Below are 12,823 nucleotides of genomic sequence, written 5' to 3'. Positions count from 1 at the left end.
CCTCAAGTGATCCGCCCGCCTCGGCCTCCCAAAGTGCTGGGATTACAGGCGTGAGCCACCGCTCCCGGCCTGCATTACTCCTTTAGAAGCTGAATTGTCACATCCACCGTCTCATCTGGCCTCACAGTAACCCTGGGCAGGGATGAAACCACTGACCACCCCCCACCCTCTGCAGATGAGGACACTGAGCCCCAGAAGATGAACTACCTTGCATAAGGTCCCAGGGAGCTGAGGCTGAACCACCCCCCATTCCCTCAGTCGGCCAGTCTGGGACTGCTGCTGCTTGCCTGAGCTCTAGCTGCCTGGGGGCTCCTCTGCCAGCTTTTTCCAACCTAGTAAGATACAAGACTAGTCCTGATCCTTTGGTGGCTGCAGGGCCACAGGCAGCACTAACCTCTCCCTCTGCCCAGCCCTGTTTCTCCTCTCTAACCCTGGACATAAACAGGGCTCCAGTCTAAGAGAAGGAAAGGAAACTACCATGTGGAGCATGTTCTGTACGGCATCTCACAATGCTCACAATAATCTTCTGTGTACTCTCAGCCTATTTTACAGATGAGAAGACTAAGGGAGGCCAGGTAAGCTTTCCAATGCATACAAGACAGGGGGTTGGGACCTAAATTAGAGCCCAGACATTCTGACTTCACTCCTGGCTCCTTCTGTGCCTCCAGGTACCTCCGAGGAAGTGCCCAATAGCCTCATCCGTGCCATAAGAGACCCTGGGCTGGCTCTGCTTATAAAAGAACTGAAGCAAAACACAAGGCCAGGCTTCTCCCATCAGGCCCTGGGTGCTGCTTCTCTGCAAAGAACATGCTCCCTGGGCAACAAGTCCAAGGCCCTGATCAACCGCATTCTCAAAAACAGGCTCTCCATTGGCCAAGGAACAAGGCTCAGGGCCTGTTGCTGCCACCCTCAGCCCCCGCAAAACTACCCCAGAAACAAGTCTCCTGGCAGTATCTGTACCCAGCACCTGCCCCCTCCCTGGAGGACACTGTCATGCTCCCCCTGTGCTGTCGTCCCCACCAGCAGACATAATTACCACTGGCTCTCGAGCTGCCAGTCCACAGAGCCAAGAAATAACATGCTCTGTGACATGTTCCATCCACCCAGCGACCCAGGCCAGGCCCACGCCAGCCTCCGAGCTCCTGCTGCGTCAGGTTCCTGCAGCAGAAAAAACAGCTCTTTCTGCCGGTTAGAGAGAGAGGCTCTCCCACCTCCACTGAACCAAGGGCTCTAAGCTGGCAGTGTTATCAGACCCTTCACCGCTTCAGCCTTCAGCAGAGCAGGGCCTTGTGTTAGAACAAACCAGATCCCAAAAGCTGAAACAATCTGTGCTCATCTGCTGAATCCCTAATGGAATCAAGCCCAGGAAGCACTTTTTTTTTTTTTTTTAACTGAATGGCACCCTTAATCCAGTTTATCTCCCAATCAGACCTGAACATTTTCAAAAATGACTAAGTCAGAATCAAGTATTTATCAGGACAGAATGAGGAAATTTATCAGGACATATTGAACAACCAAAATGTACCAGGCACTTCACATTCATTTTCTTATTTAATTCACCAAAGTCATACAAGAAAGATCTTATTAGCTCCATTTTACAGATGAGAAAACCGAGGCTCAGGGTGGTAAGAAGCTCAACCAGGCCACACAGATTGTGAATGGTAAATTCAAGATTCAAACAGCCAGATGCCCAGCATTGGGCATGGCACAAAGTCTGTTAATCTGCAGAGTCCCAGGACCCAGAGACTTACCTATCCACCCCACTCTCAACACCAGGGCTCTGTACCCTTTCCATTTCTAACAGCAGCAACTTGTTCGCCAGCTGAATGAAACAGGGATCCAAGGGTTCAGTTTACTTTAGCACATATTTTTATGCCCCAGATCAGTATTTCAGAAATAAGAAAGATTCCTGTATCTCCTAGTTCCCCAGCTGTCTCAGAAAATCAGGCTGGTTTGATACACGGTTCTTTCAAAAACAAGAATTTACGTTTGAGGTTCAGCAGGCTGGGGTCATTCCTTCTGATTTGGGGACCAGGGTTTCCTCCACATCCCTGGGTACAAACTGCAGTAGATGGGAGTCCATTTGGGACAGGAACTATGATTGAACTGTTAATCGTTGTCTTTACATTGCTGAGCATGGTCCCGCATGCTGTAGCTCCTTGAATAAGATTAGATGGATACATGGTGGGTGGATAGACAGATGAATGGATGAATGGGTAGGTAGATGCAGGGTTGGTAGGTGGCTGGATGGATGAATGGGGGATGGATGGAATGATGGGTGGATGGATGAATGATAGGTGGATGAATAGGTGGACAGATGAATGGTGGGTAGATGGATGGAGGAAAGGGTGGACGGATGAATGGGAGGTGGATGGATAAATGGATGAATAGGTAGGGGGATGCATGGTTGGTGGGTGGGTGGGTAGACGGATGAATGAATGGGTGGATGGATGGATGGTGGATGAATGGATTAATGGGTGGATGGATGGATGGTAGATGAATGGATTAATAAGTGGACGAATGAATGGTGGGTAGGAGGATGGGCGGATGCAGAAATGATGGGAGGGTAGATGGCCAGAAGGATAAATGGTAAAGTGGGTCGGTGATCGATATATGAATGAATCAATGATAAGTATGTGGATTTTTAAATGTCATTTTGGCTCCGAAGACCCAAAACTAGGTCCAAAACAGAAATCATCTTCAACCAGTTATATCTTATATCCTCCTTGCATTCCTGTGAAAGCATTAGTAAGGTTTCTATTTACCTCTTGAAAGACAAGGTCTCCCTCATTCATTCTGATCGCACATAGTCAGCTTGTAATAAAAACCATATCCAAGGTAGCAGCCCCACACCACACAGCCACTCCTGAGTTCCAAACCACAAAACAAGGAGGCCTGCAAACACCGTTTCCTGCAGCAGCTGCTCTGGATGTCCTGGAGGTGGAAGCAATGATGATGATGCCTCCTGGGTTGGCTCTGTGGAAAAAGCTTTCACTGCAGCATAATGCATTCTGCAGGTATTAGGAGAACCTAAGTAGCAGCCAAGGTCACCAGCTGCTGTTCTAGAGGTTTCTCCCCAAGCCCATCATTTGTAGCCAAACCCAGCCAACATCAAAGCGGGATGAGGAAAACCCTGCAGGTACATGGAGCCTTGGGGTTCAGCTGAGAGGTATCAGGGCAGGAGCTTGGGAGGCTGGTAGAGTGGAACCCATACCCTAGTCCTCTCACTGATCAAGAATGAGATTGGAGGGAAGGAGAATTTAAAACAAAGGCAGGAGAAAAGGCAGGTCTGGCCACTTAGAGAAACCATTCCCAGCCACAGAGGCCAGATCCAGCAGCCGGGGGAAAGGTCACTGCAGATGAAACACTAAAACTAAGTTCATTGCCAATACTCTCCCCCAAATCCCTCAAGTTTCTGAATGTCTAACAGGCTGGGTGTGCGTAAGGGGAAACAAACCAGCCAACCCCACAAGAGGTGCCTCCTCCCAGCCTCAGTGCAAACAGCGTCTGGGCAGTGCCTCTGTTTCCTATGCCACAGGGAATCTCCCAGGACACCACCTGGCCAGCCAACCCAGACTCACCCACCCCATAACCCCTAGTCTCTGAGGCAGGCTGCCAGCCACACTGTCTTACAAAAGGGAAAGAGCTGCTTGGAGGAGATCGCATACTCAGGAAAACCCACCTGGCTCCAAGCACGGGCCATGTTTCTGTAAAAGGCCATTCTCCACTTGGAGGGTTTGGGGGTGGGTGGACAGCCTTAACTGAAAGGCATCTGAACTCTGTCCTGAGGACTCAGATCAAGCAGAGGCTACAGAAAATGACTTGGGAAGACAGAGCTCAGCTTCACTCCTACCAGGAGAAAAATTATGACCATCCTCACCCTGACAGGCTTGTCCCTTTTACAAAGCCCTCTGATCCCCAAAGTCACCTCCTTGGCCTTTTACACTTAAGAACAAGGATTAGAGCAGTGGGCAAGGGAAGTACCAGGATGGAAGTCCAGGAGCCCTGCGTCCTGGGGCTTGGAAACTGCTGAGGGAGAAGGACATGTTCGAGTCATGGCTTCAAGGCTTATTAGTATATGACCTTGACCAACAGCCATACCTGTCCTGGACCTCACTTTTGTCATCTGTAAGATGGGAACATACAGTATTAGACTGAACTATATGAAACTGTTGTTTTTGCAGGTCATAAACAATTGAAAATTGGCAATTTCATATGACTCAACATAATGCGCACCTAATCAGCTTGGAACCTCCCTAGCTGAGAAAGGACCTAACAGACGACCCCGTTTCCAGCCTTTCACCACCTACCTGTAAATTGCACTGGAAGCCTCAGTACACAAAGGCCACAAAATAACCGGTGTTTAGGCCGGGCACAGTGGCTCATGCCTGTAATCCCAGCACTTTGGGAGGCTGAGGCAGGTGGATCACCTGAGGTCAAGAGTTCATGACTGGCCTGGTCAACATGGTGAAACCCCGTCTCTACTAAAAATACAAAAATCAGCCAGGTGTGGTGGCGCGCACCTGTAATCCAAGCCACTCGGGAAGCTGAGACAGAAGAATCGCTTTAACCTGGGAGACAGAGGTTGCAGTGAGCCAGGATCGCACCACTGCACTCCAGTCTGAACGATAAAGGGAGACTCTGTCTCAAAAAACAACAACAACAACAACAACAACAACCACCACAAAAAAAACTCTGTGTTTCCAGACAGATGATTCCAGGGCAGTCTCACTGGAGGGTGAACGTGGTGAAATGGCGGAGAGGGGATGGGAATACTGGTCTGCATCTGGGGTTCCATATTTCAAAACTAGGATTCAGTCTGTGGTCAGAGTAAGGGCCCATTTTAAAAAGTAAAAAGCACACTGTTCTCCCATGAAAATCAGATGTGGCACATGGTCCCTGTATCTCCACAGCTGCTAACCAGCGAGATGGCCCCTCCCCTGGGCAACCACTTACCCACCTCACAGGCAAACATTTTAGGGCAACACCCTGGCCAGCTGGCACTCCCATCCAAATATCCACACCCTACACAGAAACTCTCAGATCCAACATGGACCAGCCCCAGCTGAGGCAGGATGCAATCCCTCTGCCCCACAGGCCAGCGCCTGCTCCTATTTGCTGGGAGGCCTGAGGCACCAGAGGCAATCTGATTACCAACGCTATCTAAGCAAGCCCTGGCATCGCATGGTCCCAGGCATCCAAGGGAACATTCACTTCTGGCTGTTCAGGGATCCAGCTCACGGGATCTTGGTTTCTTAACCTCCATATCCATACACTGCTCTCAGATGCGTCGTTTTTTTAAAAACCTATTTCTCAACCTGGTGGTTCCCAGCTCACCAGCTCTGATGGGCCCCTTGGTCGGAGGACTTGGACCTGACCATGTAGATGACTCCTGTGTGCTTGGCTTCTGATGCTCCTGCCCCACTCTTCCTGTGCCCCCTTTGGACCAGTCCAGTCCATCCTTCATCTTACCACCTCCTCAACCACACAGCCACAGTGCACTCTCCTTTGCTGAGCACCCAAAGTGCTTGGCCCTGGGCAAACATTCCTTGGTACCATGGCCACCATATGTGTGCAAGCACGAGTGTGTGCGTGCATCCACGTGCTTGTGTTTGCCTCATCTTCCTGCCCAGGACATGAGCAATGGGTCCTGTAGAAAAGTCTAAACAGCCAACTTCATGTGTGCTTTGTCTAGCACGATTTGTCTTCTCCTCTGTGTTCTTTTCCCATAGCATTCACGCGTGGACATCCTGCATATTGTAGTTTTTGATTAATTTACTGCCTGCTTCCCTTTACTAGAATGTAAGCTCCACGAGGGAAAGGACTTTTCTCCATTTTGTTTGCTGCGGCATCTCTGGTGTCTAGAGCAGGGTCTGGCACAAAGTAGATGCTCAATAAATAGCTGTTGCGTGAATAAATGAACTCCTTCCATAGGCACACTTACCTTTGTGAGTATTGTTATATTACAGGGGAGAAAACGGAGGCTCAGAGAAAATAAGTGATGTGCCCCAGCCCTCAACTAACACGCAGAACTGGAACCTGATTCCATGCTTTCTGACTCCAAAGTACACATTCCTTCCATTCCCTACCTGCCATGTTCTCAAATCTGTCACAGCACCCAACACACAGCTATGTAACATTTTACTGTGACCTTGTTGATGATCATCTTTTTAATCCCAAAAGAGGTGGGTGGGGACTTAGGCACTCAGTCTCTACTTATTTGGGGGCAGAACGCAGGCCTCCAAATGAAGCCTTCGACAGCCAATTCCAAACCTAATGAGCAAGACTTGCTGTATGGGGGCCCAGGGCCAAGAAGCATCTACTTTAGGAGTATCCCTGGGAGACAGAGTTTGGCTAGGTCACGGGTGGCCTGTACCTGGGCCCCACAGCCCTTCCCCACAGGGTCAGAGGGCCAGAGGCCCCTGAAGGACATCCTGGAGCTTACCATGGATTCGCTGATGAGGAGGAGCAGGAGGGCTTCCTCGATGTTGTCCTTGGGGCAGTAGAGGCTGAAAGACACCAATGACAGGCCTGGCTAGAGCACACACCTCACCAGACAGCACCACTGACCCACCATGCCAGCCTTCTGCCCCAGAGTCAGCACCAGCTCGGTAAGGTGACCTCTTCCTGCATAATTCATGGGCACCGGATACCATATGCCCCAGAGTTATGGATCTGAAAGGCTGCGGTGGGTGGTGGCTGCTGGGCTGGAATAGTACGGATTCTCCCAGGGAGGAAACATTCCTCCCAGCACCAGCACTGCAGGGAATGGCTGGGGCAAGAAGCAGGGAGAAGCCAGAACTACGCTCTGCTGGTTGGCTACAGACCGCACCTTCGATGAATGGCACAAGCGAGAGAGAGGTGTATCAGACAAGACTACTGGGAAGACAGGTAACTTCTAAATGATTTCTTTGGTCTCCGAGTGCCTTATAGGATTATCTCCACAACCTGGACCCCAACACCTGCCTTCTCTAGTTCATCTGGCTCCTGCTGAGACTGAGGAGGCTGGCTGGCAGTGTGCTGAGTGGAGACTGGAGGAGAGCATGGGGCAAAGAGGAAGCCACCAGTGGGGACAGAACCCTGCGTGAGATGTGAGACTGGCAAGGTGCAGCAGGGCAGGCAGAACTTACTTGTCTCCTTCATAGAGGTGAGGTTTCCGCAGGGCCTGAGTGGCGAAAGAACTCTCCTCCTTGCCCATGAACTCAGGCAGAGGGTGGGACAGGGGGCTCCAGTAGCACTCCTCACTCAGGGAGTGCAGCAGGACCCCCGCCAGGTGCTTGGCCGCCATCTGGCAGAGAGGGAAGCACTCGGACCCAGGCACAGTTGTCAGCTCTACCCCAGCATGACCTAGAACGCCCTCTGCCCATCCCAGCTAAATCTGCCCCGCTTGCAATGTGCGGCCCTTTGGGTAAACTCCCCAACCCCACTCCCAAGGAGCCCCCTTGCTCCTTCAGTCCCTCCAACACTGGCGCTCCCACCCCTCTGCTGGCCTCAGACGGCTCCTACCTCATCTTTTCTCTTCTCTCCTCTCCTAGACAAGAGGAGCATTTCCTCCCTCTCCTGACCCCTTGGAGCCCAGCCCCACTCTGAGTATTCAGCAGGACCTTGCAGTATTGGGAAGAGCATAATGCCACAGGCATGGGCAGCTCTCTCTCTCTCAGGTGCCTTTCTGATATTCGATGGAGAATTATAGCATAAGAAGCAGCTGTGGCTCTCTGGTTTGGACAAACTAAGGACTAGGAGGGCAGGCCTGTGTTGGGGCAGGCAAGCAGGGTCAATGCTGTTTATTAGGATCATAAACAAATCCCTAAAAGTTCGCATAGCACCTTGCTAGTGGTGGTAGCAAGTTTGTCAACACAGTTTGCCCAGGGAAGCGCTGGCAGTAGATCTGAAATCTGATTTAACATGAGGGACTATCTGCAATGCCGCGGGGGGAAAGAGGCCGCACCTCCCTGGCTGCGTGGGAAAGGATGCTGAGATTGATTACCAACCTCTGCCACAAGCAGGCAGGAGACCTACTGCCACCCCTGCTTCACAGGCTCCCTGCAAGGACTTCTGTTGTCTCCCACCAAAGCTGACTCCTAAATAAGCCAGCACTGCCAGCACCCCACATTACCACTTTGAAGTTCTGAGTTGCTTTGGTCTCCACAGTCCGCAGCACCTCCCGGAGCTCTCTCATGCCCTTCACGATGTTCCTGGTGGGAGGACGGCAGAAGTAGATTTGTTACCAGCCTAGCTCGCAAAGAAGGATGCTCTCAGCACACCAGCAGACCCCAGGAGGAGCTGACTGCTGGAGTTTTATTTGAACACATTCGATAACTGGAGTGAAAAGTTAGAGTTGTAACACCAGGACTTTAGAGGCCCAGGACATCAACAAAAAGGAGGGAGGATCCCTTTTCCCCTAGTCCCTTTCCCTCTTTCCCCCCAGCAACTTGGGCTTCCGGTTTACCACCAAAGGGGTACCAAGATTGAGTATCTCAAACAAGGTGTGACCTTGGACTAAGAGCCTTGGGCTGGTGTCAGACTTTCTGACCTCAGTCAGTCTCAAATTCTCCAGCTTCACTTGCTGTATCCGATTGATGCTGGATTCCATCCTCCCCTCTCTGTCCCCAGTACCATGGCCCCAGGCTGGCCTGCCTCACCTTGGGCCTTGATGACCACACCAGCCAGTCTCGCCACTTTCAGTCAGCCTCTGTGCCTTGAAATAGTTTTCAAGCTTTTAAAAGTGTGAGCCATAGTGACAAATACATCTTACATGGCAACCCATTACCCACATACACTTCCCTGACATAAAACCGAAGTTTCTCGACAAAATACCCATCTCTCCTATGTGCAATCAACACTGAGGTTTTCCATTTTCCTTCTACCTCTACCCCCATTTTGTAACATGCTGGCTGCAGCCCACTAAATAGATCTTGCATTCCCACTAACAGGCTGTGGCCCACAATGTGAAAAACTGCTCCCACTGCGCCTTGGGGGTCTAGTGGATGCAGGAAGGTCACCTGGATCCTCTCAAGTCCAGCCCTACAGTGGCCCCAGGGCTCACAGAATAAGCCCTCAGCGTAGCTTCCTGAGGCTGTGGGGCCTGCCCCTCACCTTTCTCCCACCTCAGCCCCCAGCACTCAAGCAAGTCCTTTCTGAATGACCGCAGTCCCCTATATCAAGTCTCGGCACTGGCTTCTTCCACTGCCTTACGTGGCCTTTCCCCACTTCATCCTTCAAAAGCAAGTTCCAATGTCACCTCCTCCATGAAGCCTCCCCAGACCCCTCCCCATGCTGCCCTGCCTGTTAATTCCTCTTCTGAAGCAAGTAAAACCACTCAAGGTCATTTTCTACCTGCAGGTCTGACCCTCGCACACTGTGGCCACCTGAGGGCCAGGCGCATCGCTCCCGTGTTTCTAAAGCTCCACCCAGCAGCTCCTGCCACGTAGCACATGCTCAGGAAAGTGTAAGGGCTGCCCTGCTCATCCACTCAGGGGGTTCCCCGGATCACACCACACAAGGGAAAGCAGAGGCTGCTGGGCTGGCGAATTCAGAAAAATTAAGATCACAGAGGGTGAAGAGCCAAAGCTGGCAGCCAAGAAAGTTACATAAGCCCCTTCTTCAATTTCATGCACAAAACAGGCTCCTGGGGGCTTTGGGGCCTGGGAGCCATGAAAGGACACCTTTGCAGATCAAGTCCCTTGCCTTCTGGAAAGCTCTGGCCTCAGGACACGCAAGCAAGATGGACCCTTGTCTTCAGAGTTGAGAATGGAGACTCCTGGGGTAGGATCAGAGTTACGATGACCTTCGCTAGCCTGCCAAGTGCTCTGAAAACTTGGGAGTGGCAAGCAGGACAGGGAACCTCAGCCCCCTTAGAGACCATCAAGTCTGGGTGAGGTCTGTAAAATGAAGACTTCACTTAGCTCAGTGTCTCCCAGACTTCTGTAGACTGCATACCTCATTCACCATGTTTACCACTATTAGTCCTAATAATACTATCACCGGTATTATTATTTATGTCGTACTTTTCCTTATATCTTCCTTCTTCTTTTAAGGTGAGTAAATAACTCACCTTCCCTTAGAAATAACAGAAGTATTTTTTAAAAGTTAGTGTGCACATCACTTAAAACCACATTGTGTGTCACTAGAAGTACTTGTCCCACACTCTAAGAAATGATAATTTATTTTATTTGCAGAGATGAGGTCTTGCTATGTTGCCCAGCCTGGTCTCGAACTCCTGGACTAAAGTGATCCTCCCACTTCAGCCTCTCAAAGTGCTGGGATTACAGGCATGAGCCACCACCACGCCTGGCCAGAAATGATAATTCAGACAAGAATGCCTCAAAATGTAGTACTTGGACTAGCAGCGTCCGTATCCCAGGGACTTGTTAGAAATGCAAATTCTGAGACCCCCACCCAGACCTGCTGAATTAAGAACTCTGGGGTGGGCCACGTGTGGTGGCTCATGCCTATAATCCCAGCACTTTGGGAGGCCGAGGCTGGCGGATCACTTGAGGTCAGTAGTTCAAGACCAGCCTGGCCAACATGGTAAAATCCCATCTCTACTAAAACTACAAAAATTAACTAGGCTGTGGTGGCGCCCGTGCCTGTAGTCCCAGCTATTCGGGAAGCTGAGGCAGGAGAATTGCTTGAACCTAGGAGGCTGAGGTTGCAGTGAGCTGAAATCGCATCACTGCACTCTAACCTGGGCAACAGAGCAAGACCCTATCTCAAAACAAACCAACCAACCAACCCCTGGGGTGGGGCCCAGCAATCTGGGCTTTATCAGATCACCAGGGGGGTTCTGATGGACACTCAAGTCGAGAACCACTGGTTTAGGGGATGCCCTGGGGTCTTCTAGTTCTCCTAGTTCAAGAAGTCGGGCTTCAGAAGGGACAATCTGACACAGTAACCCCAGCTTTGCAGCCAGTCCCTAAGTCTGTAATCTTGGGAAAGTGAGGCAGCCTCCCTAAGTCCTAGTCTCTTTTCATTTCCTCATAGTCCTGTTAGGAAGATGACATACATGTGGCCCCAAGCACACTCAGGCATGTAGCAGAGGTTCATTAAATATTCTCTTCCTTTCTCCTTCTAATTTGGGTCTTGAAGATCATATGACTTATGTTCTGACTTATGTTAAAGTTTGGAAGTTTGGGAGCTCATGAGTAGGGGAGAGGACACAAGTGCCTGCAGGGACCCTTCGGCTTTGTGACCACCTTCCGCCTACCAGCCCTCTGCCCCACAGAGGACAGAAGAACAGGATTCCTGGTAGATAAGCCAGGCCCAAGGACAGGCCCGGGCCCCCCACAAGAAGCTCCTTCGGTTCCACTGAGGCCTCTGTCTCAGGAAATAACCCAGAGCTGGAGAGCAGGCCACAGGCCAGGCCAGCTAAGGGGACAGCCCAGCACCAGCCACCACCAGAAGACAGGAAAAAGACAGACTGCAGCAAACTAAGTAAAAGGACAGACCTCAACGAGCTCCAGGAAGAGAAAAGAACTGGCTGATTCTGGGACATCAGTCTAGGACAACCCTGGCAGCTGGGCCCAACAGCAGCAGGCTGAAGAGGGCTGGACCCCGGGGCTGCCTAGGGCCCTGTGGCCTACAGGGGGCCGGCAGGTCCTGGCACCTGCTACCAAGAGGCCAAAGCCAAGAATGACTGTGGCCCCTTCTTCCCACTCCACCGCAAGGACTGTCCTCTCTCTGCATTGCCAAATGAGCTCAGCCTTTAGCCTTTACATCATCAACGCTCTTGGACCAGCAGAGTGGCATTACCTGGAAGCTTGGGAGAAATGCAGACTCCCCTCCAAAACACACACACACAGATGCACACACACACACACACACAGATGCACACACACACACACACGCAATTAAAGAATCAGGACTGCACATTATGCATCTTAAGATTCTGTATCTAAAAGCTGTGTCTTTTTACTCTAGCATGTAAGCTCCCAGGAATTCTTTTGCAAACCAAATAATCACCCTCAGGCATGTTTTGGGTAAATCCCAATTTTTATTGAATGTCCTTCAAGAAAAAAAAAAAAAAAAATAGAGAGGTCCCAGTGGCCAGGGCTGTACAGGGAGAGATCTGGGGTCCCAGCTAACACTGACCTGAGAATGCCCCTCTGCCTCAGCTTACTCCTCTGAGAAATGAGAAAGCACACGGGGCTTCTCCAGGGCTCTGCAGATGGCCATGAGCCTGAGCAATCCCGTCCCAGCTCTGAAGCTGCCAGTGCCAGGTGGAGCTGGGGCTTTTCCGAGCCATTGCTGGCTGCCCTGCCAGAGGCCAGCTTGAAAGATCTCTTTGTTCTTGTCTCTCATGCTGACCTTTCTGAGCAAAGCTGCCCACTTTTAACAATATCCAAACAGGGCCTCAAACAAACCCTGGCCCAGAAACAGCCTGCGTGGGGAGAAGCCAGGAAGCCATTTATTCCAAGTCAAGTAAAGCCTGGTTGGCCAGGAACAGAAAGACAGATGTGGGTGTGATGATGGGTCAAGGACACGGTTCATCTTAGGGGAGCCTCTGGGTGGGATGTGCAAGCGGCTGGCAAGCTCCCCAGTCCCCTAGGTGGCAGCAGGCAGTGCTACACGTTTCGCGGAGCCCTTCCTTTACCTTACTCAGTCCGTGCAGCTTCTAATGAGGCTGGTGAGGGAGACAGGCTTCATTATCCCTGTACCAGCACAATGTGTGGTGCATAGAAGGTGCTCAAGAAATGATCACTGAATAAATAAATCCCTATGTTCCAACAGGAAAAAGAGCCTGGAAGATGCCTGCCTTTCCAGGCTGTCACTTACCAAAAGGGAGAGGCAGGCTTACGGCAAGCACAAAAGGGTTCAGATTTTC

At 51.0% G+C, this 12,823-nt stretch overlaps 1 protein-coding gene across 17 annotated transcripts in view; it reads right to left on the bottom strand.

The window, feature by feature from the left end:
* The window catches only part of TTC7A (tetratricopeptide repeat domain 7A), a 160,258-nt gene that overhangs the window by 74,479 nt on the left and 72,956 nt on the right, over positions 1-12,823 (bottom strand). For 15 of the 17 annotated variants that reach the window (XR_007078570.1, NM_001288953.2, XM_047445148.1 and 12 more), the window contains 3 exons: positions 8,117-8,195; positions 7,131-7,288; positions 6,446-6,509 (listed from right to left, as the gene is read on the bottom strand). Coding sequence is in view for 16 of the 17 variants with exons in the window: in NM_001288953.2 (NP_001275882.1) it covers positions 6,446-6,509; positions 7,131-7,288; positions 8,117-8,195 (301 nt within the window). In the remaining variant the exon portion in view is untranslated. Of the gene's footprint in view, positions 1-2,765; positions 2,881-6,445; positions 6,510-7,130; positions 7,289-8,116; positions 8,196-12,823 lie in introns of those variants that run through there. The other 2 variants (NM_001288955.2, XM_024453013.2) reach the window with 2 other exon arrangements.

The sequence above is a fragment of the Homo sapiens genome, chromosome 2 (genome assembly GCF_000001405.40).
Source record: "Homo sapiens chromosome 2, GRCh38.p14 Primary Assembly".
Classification (NCBI taxonomy): domain Eukaryota; kingdom Metazoa; phylum Chordata; class Mammalia; order Primates; family Hominidae; genus Homo; species Homo sapiens.
Note: the sequence above shows the minus strand (reverse complement) of the source record. Positions and strands in the feature narration are given on the sequence as shown.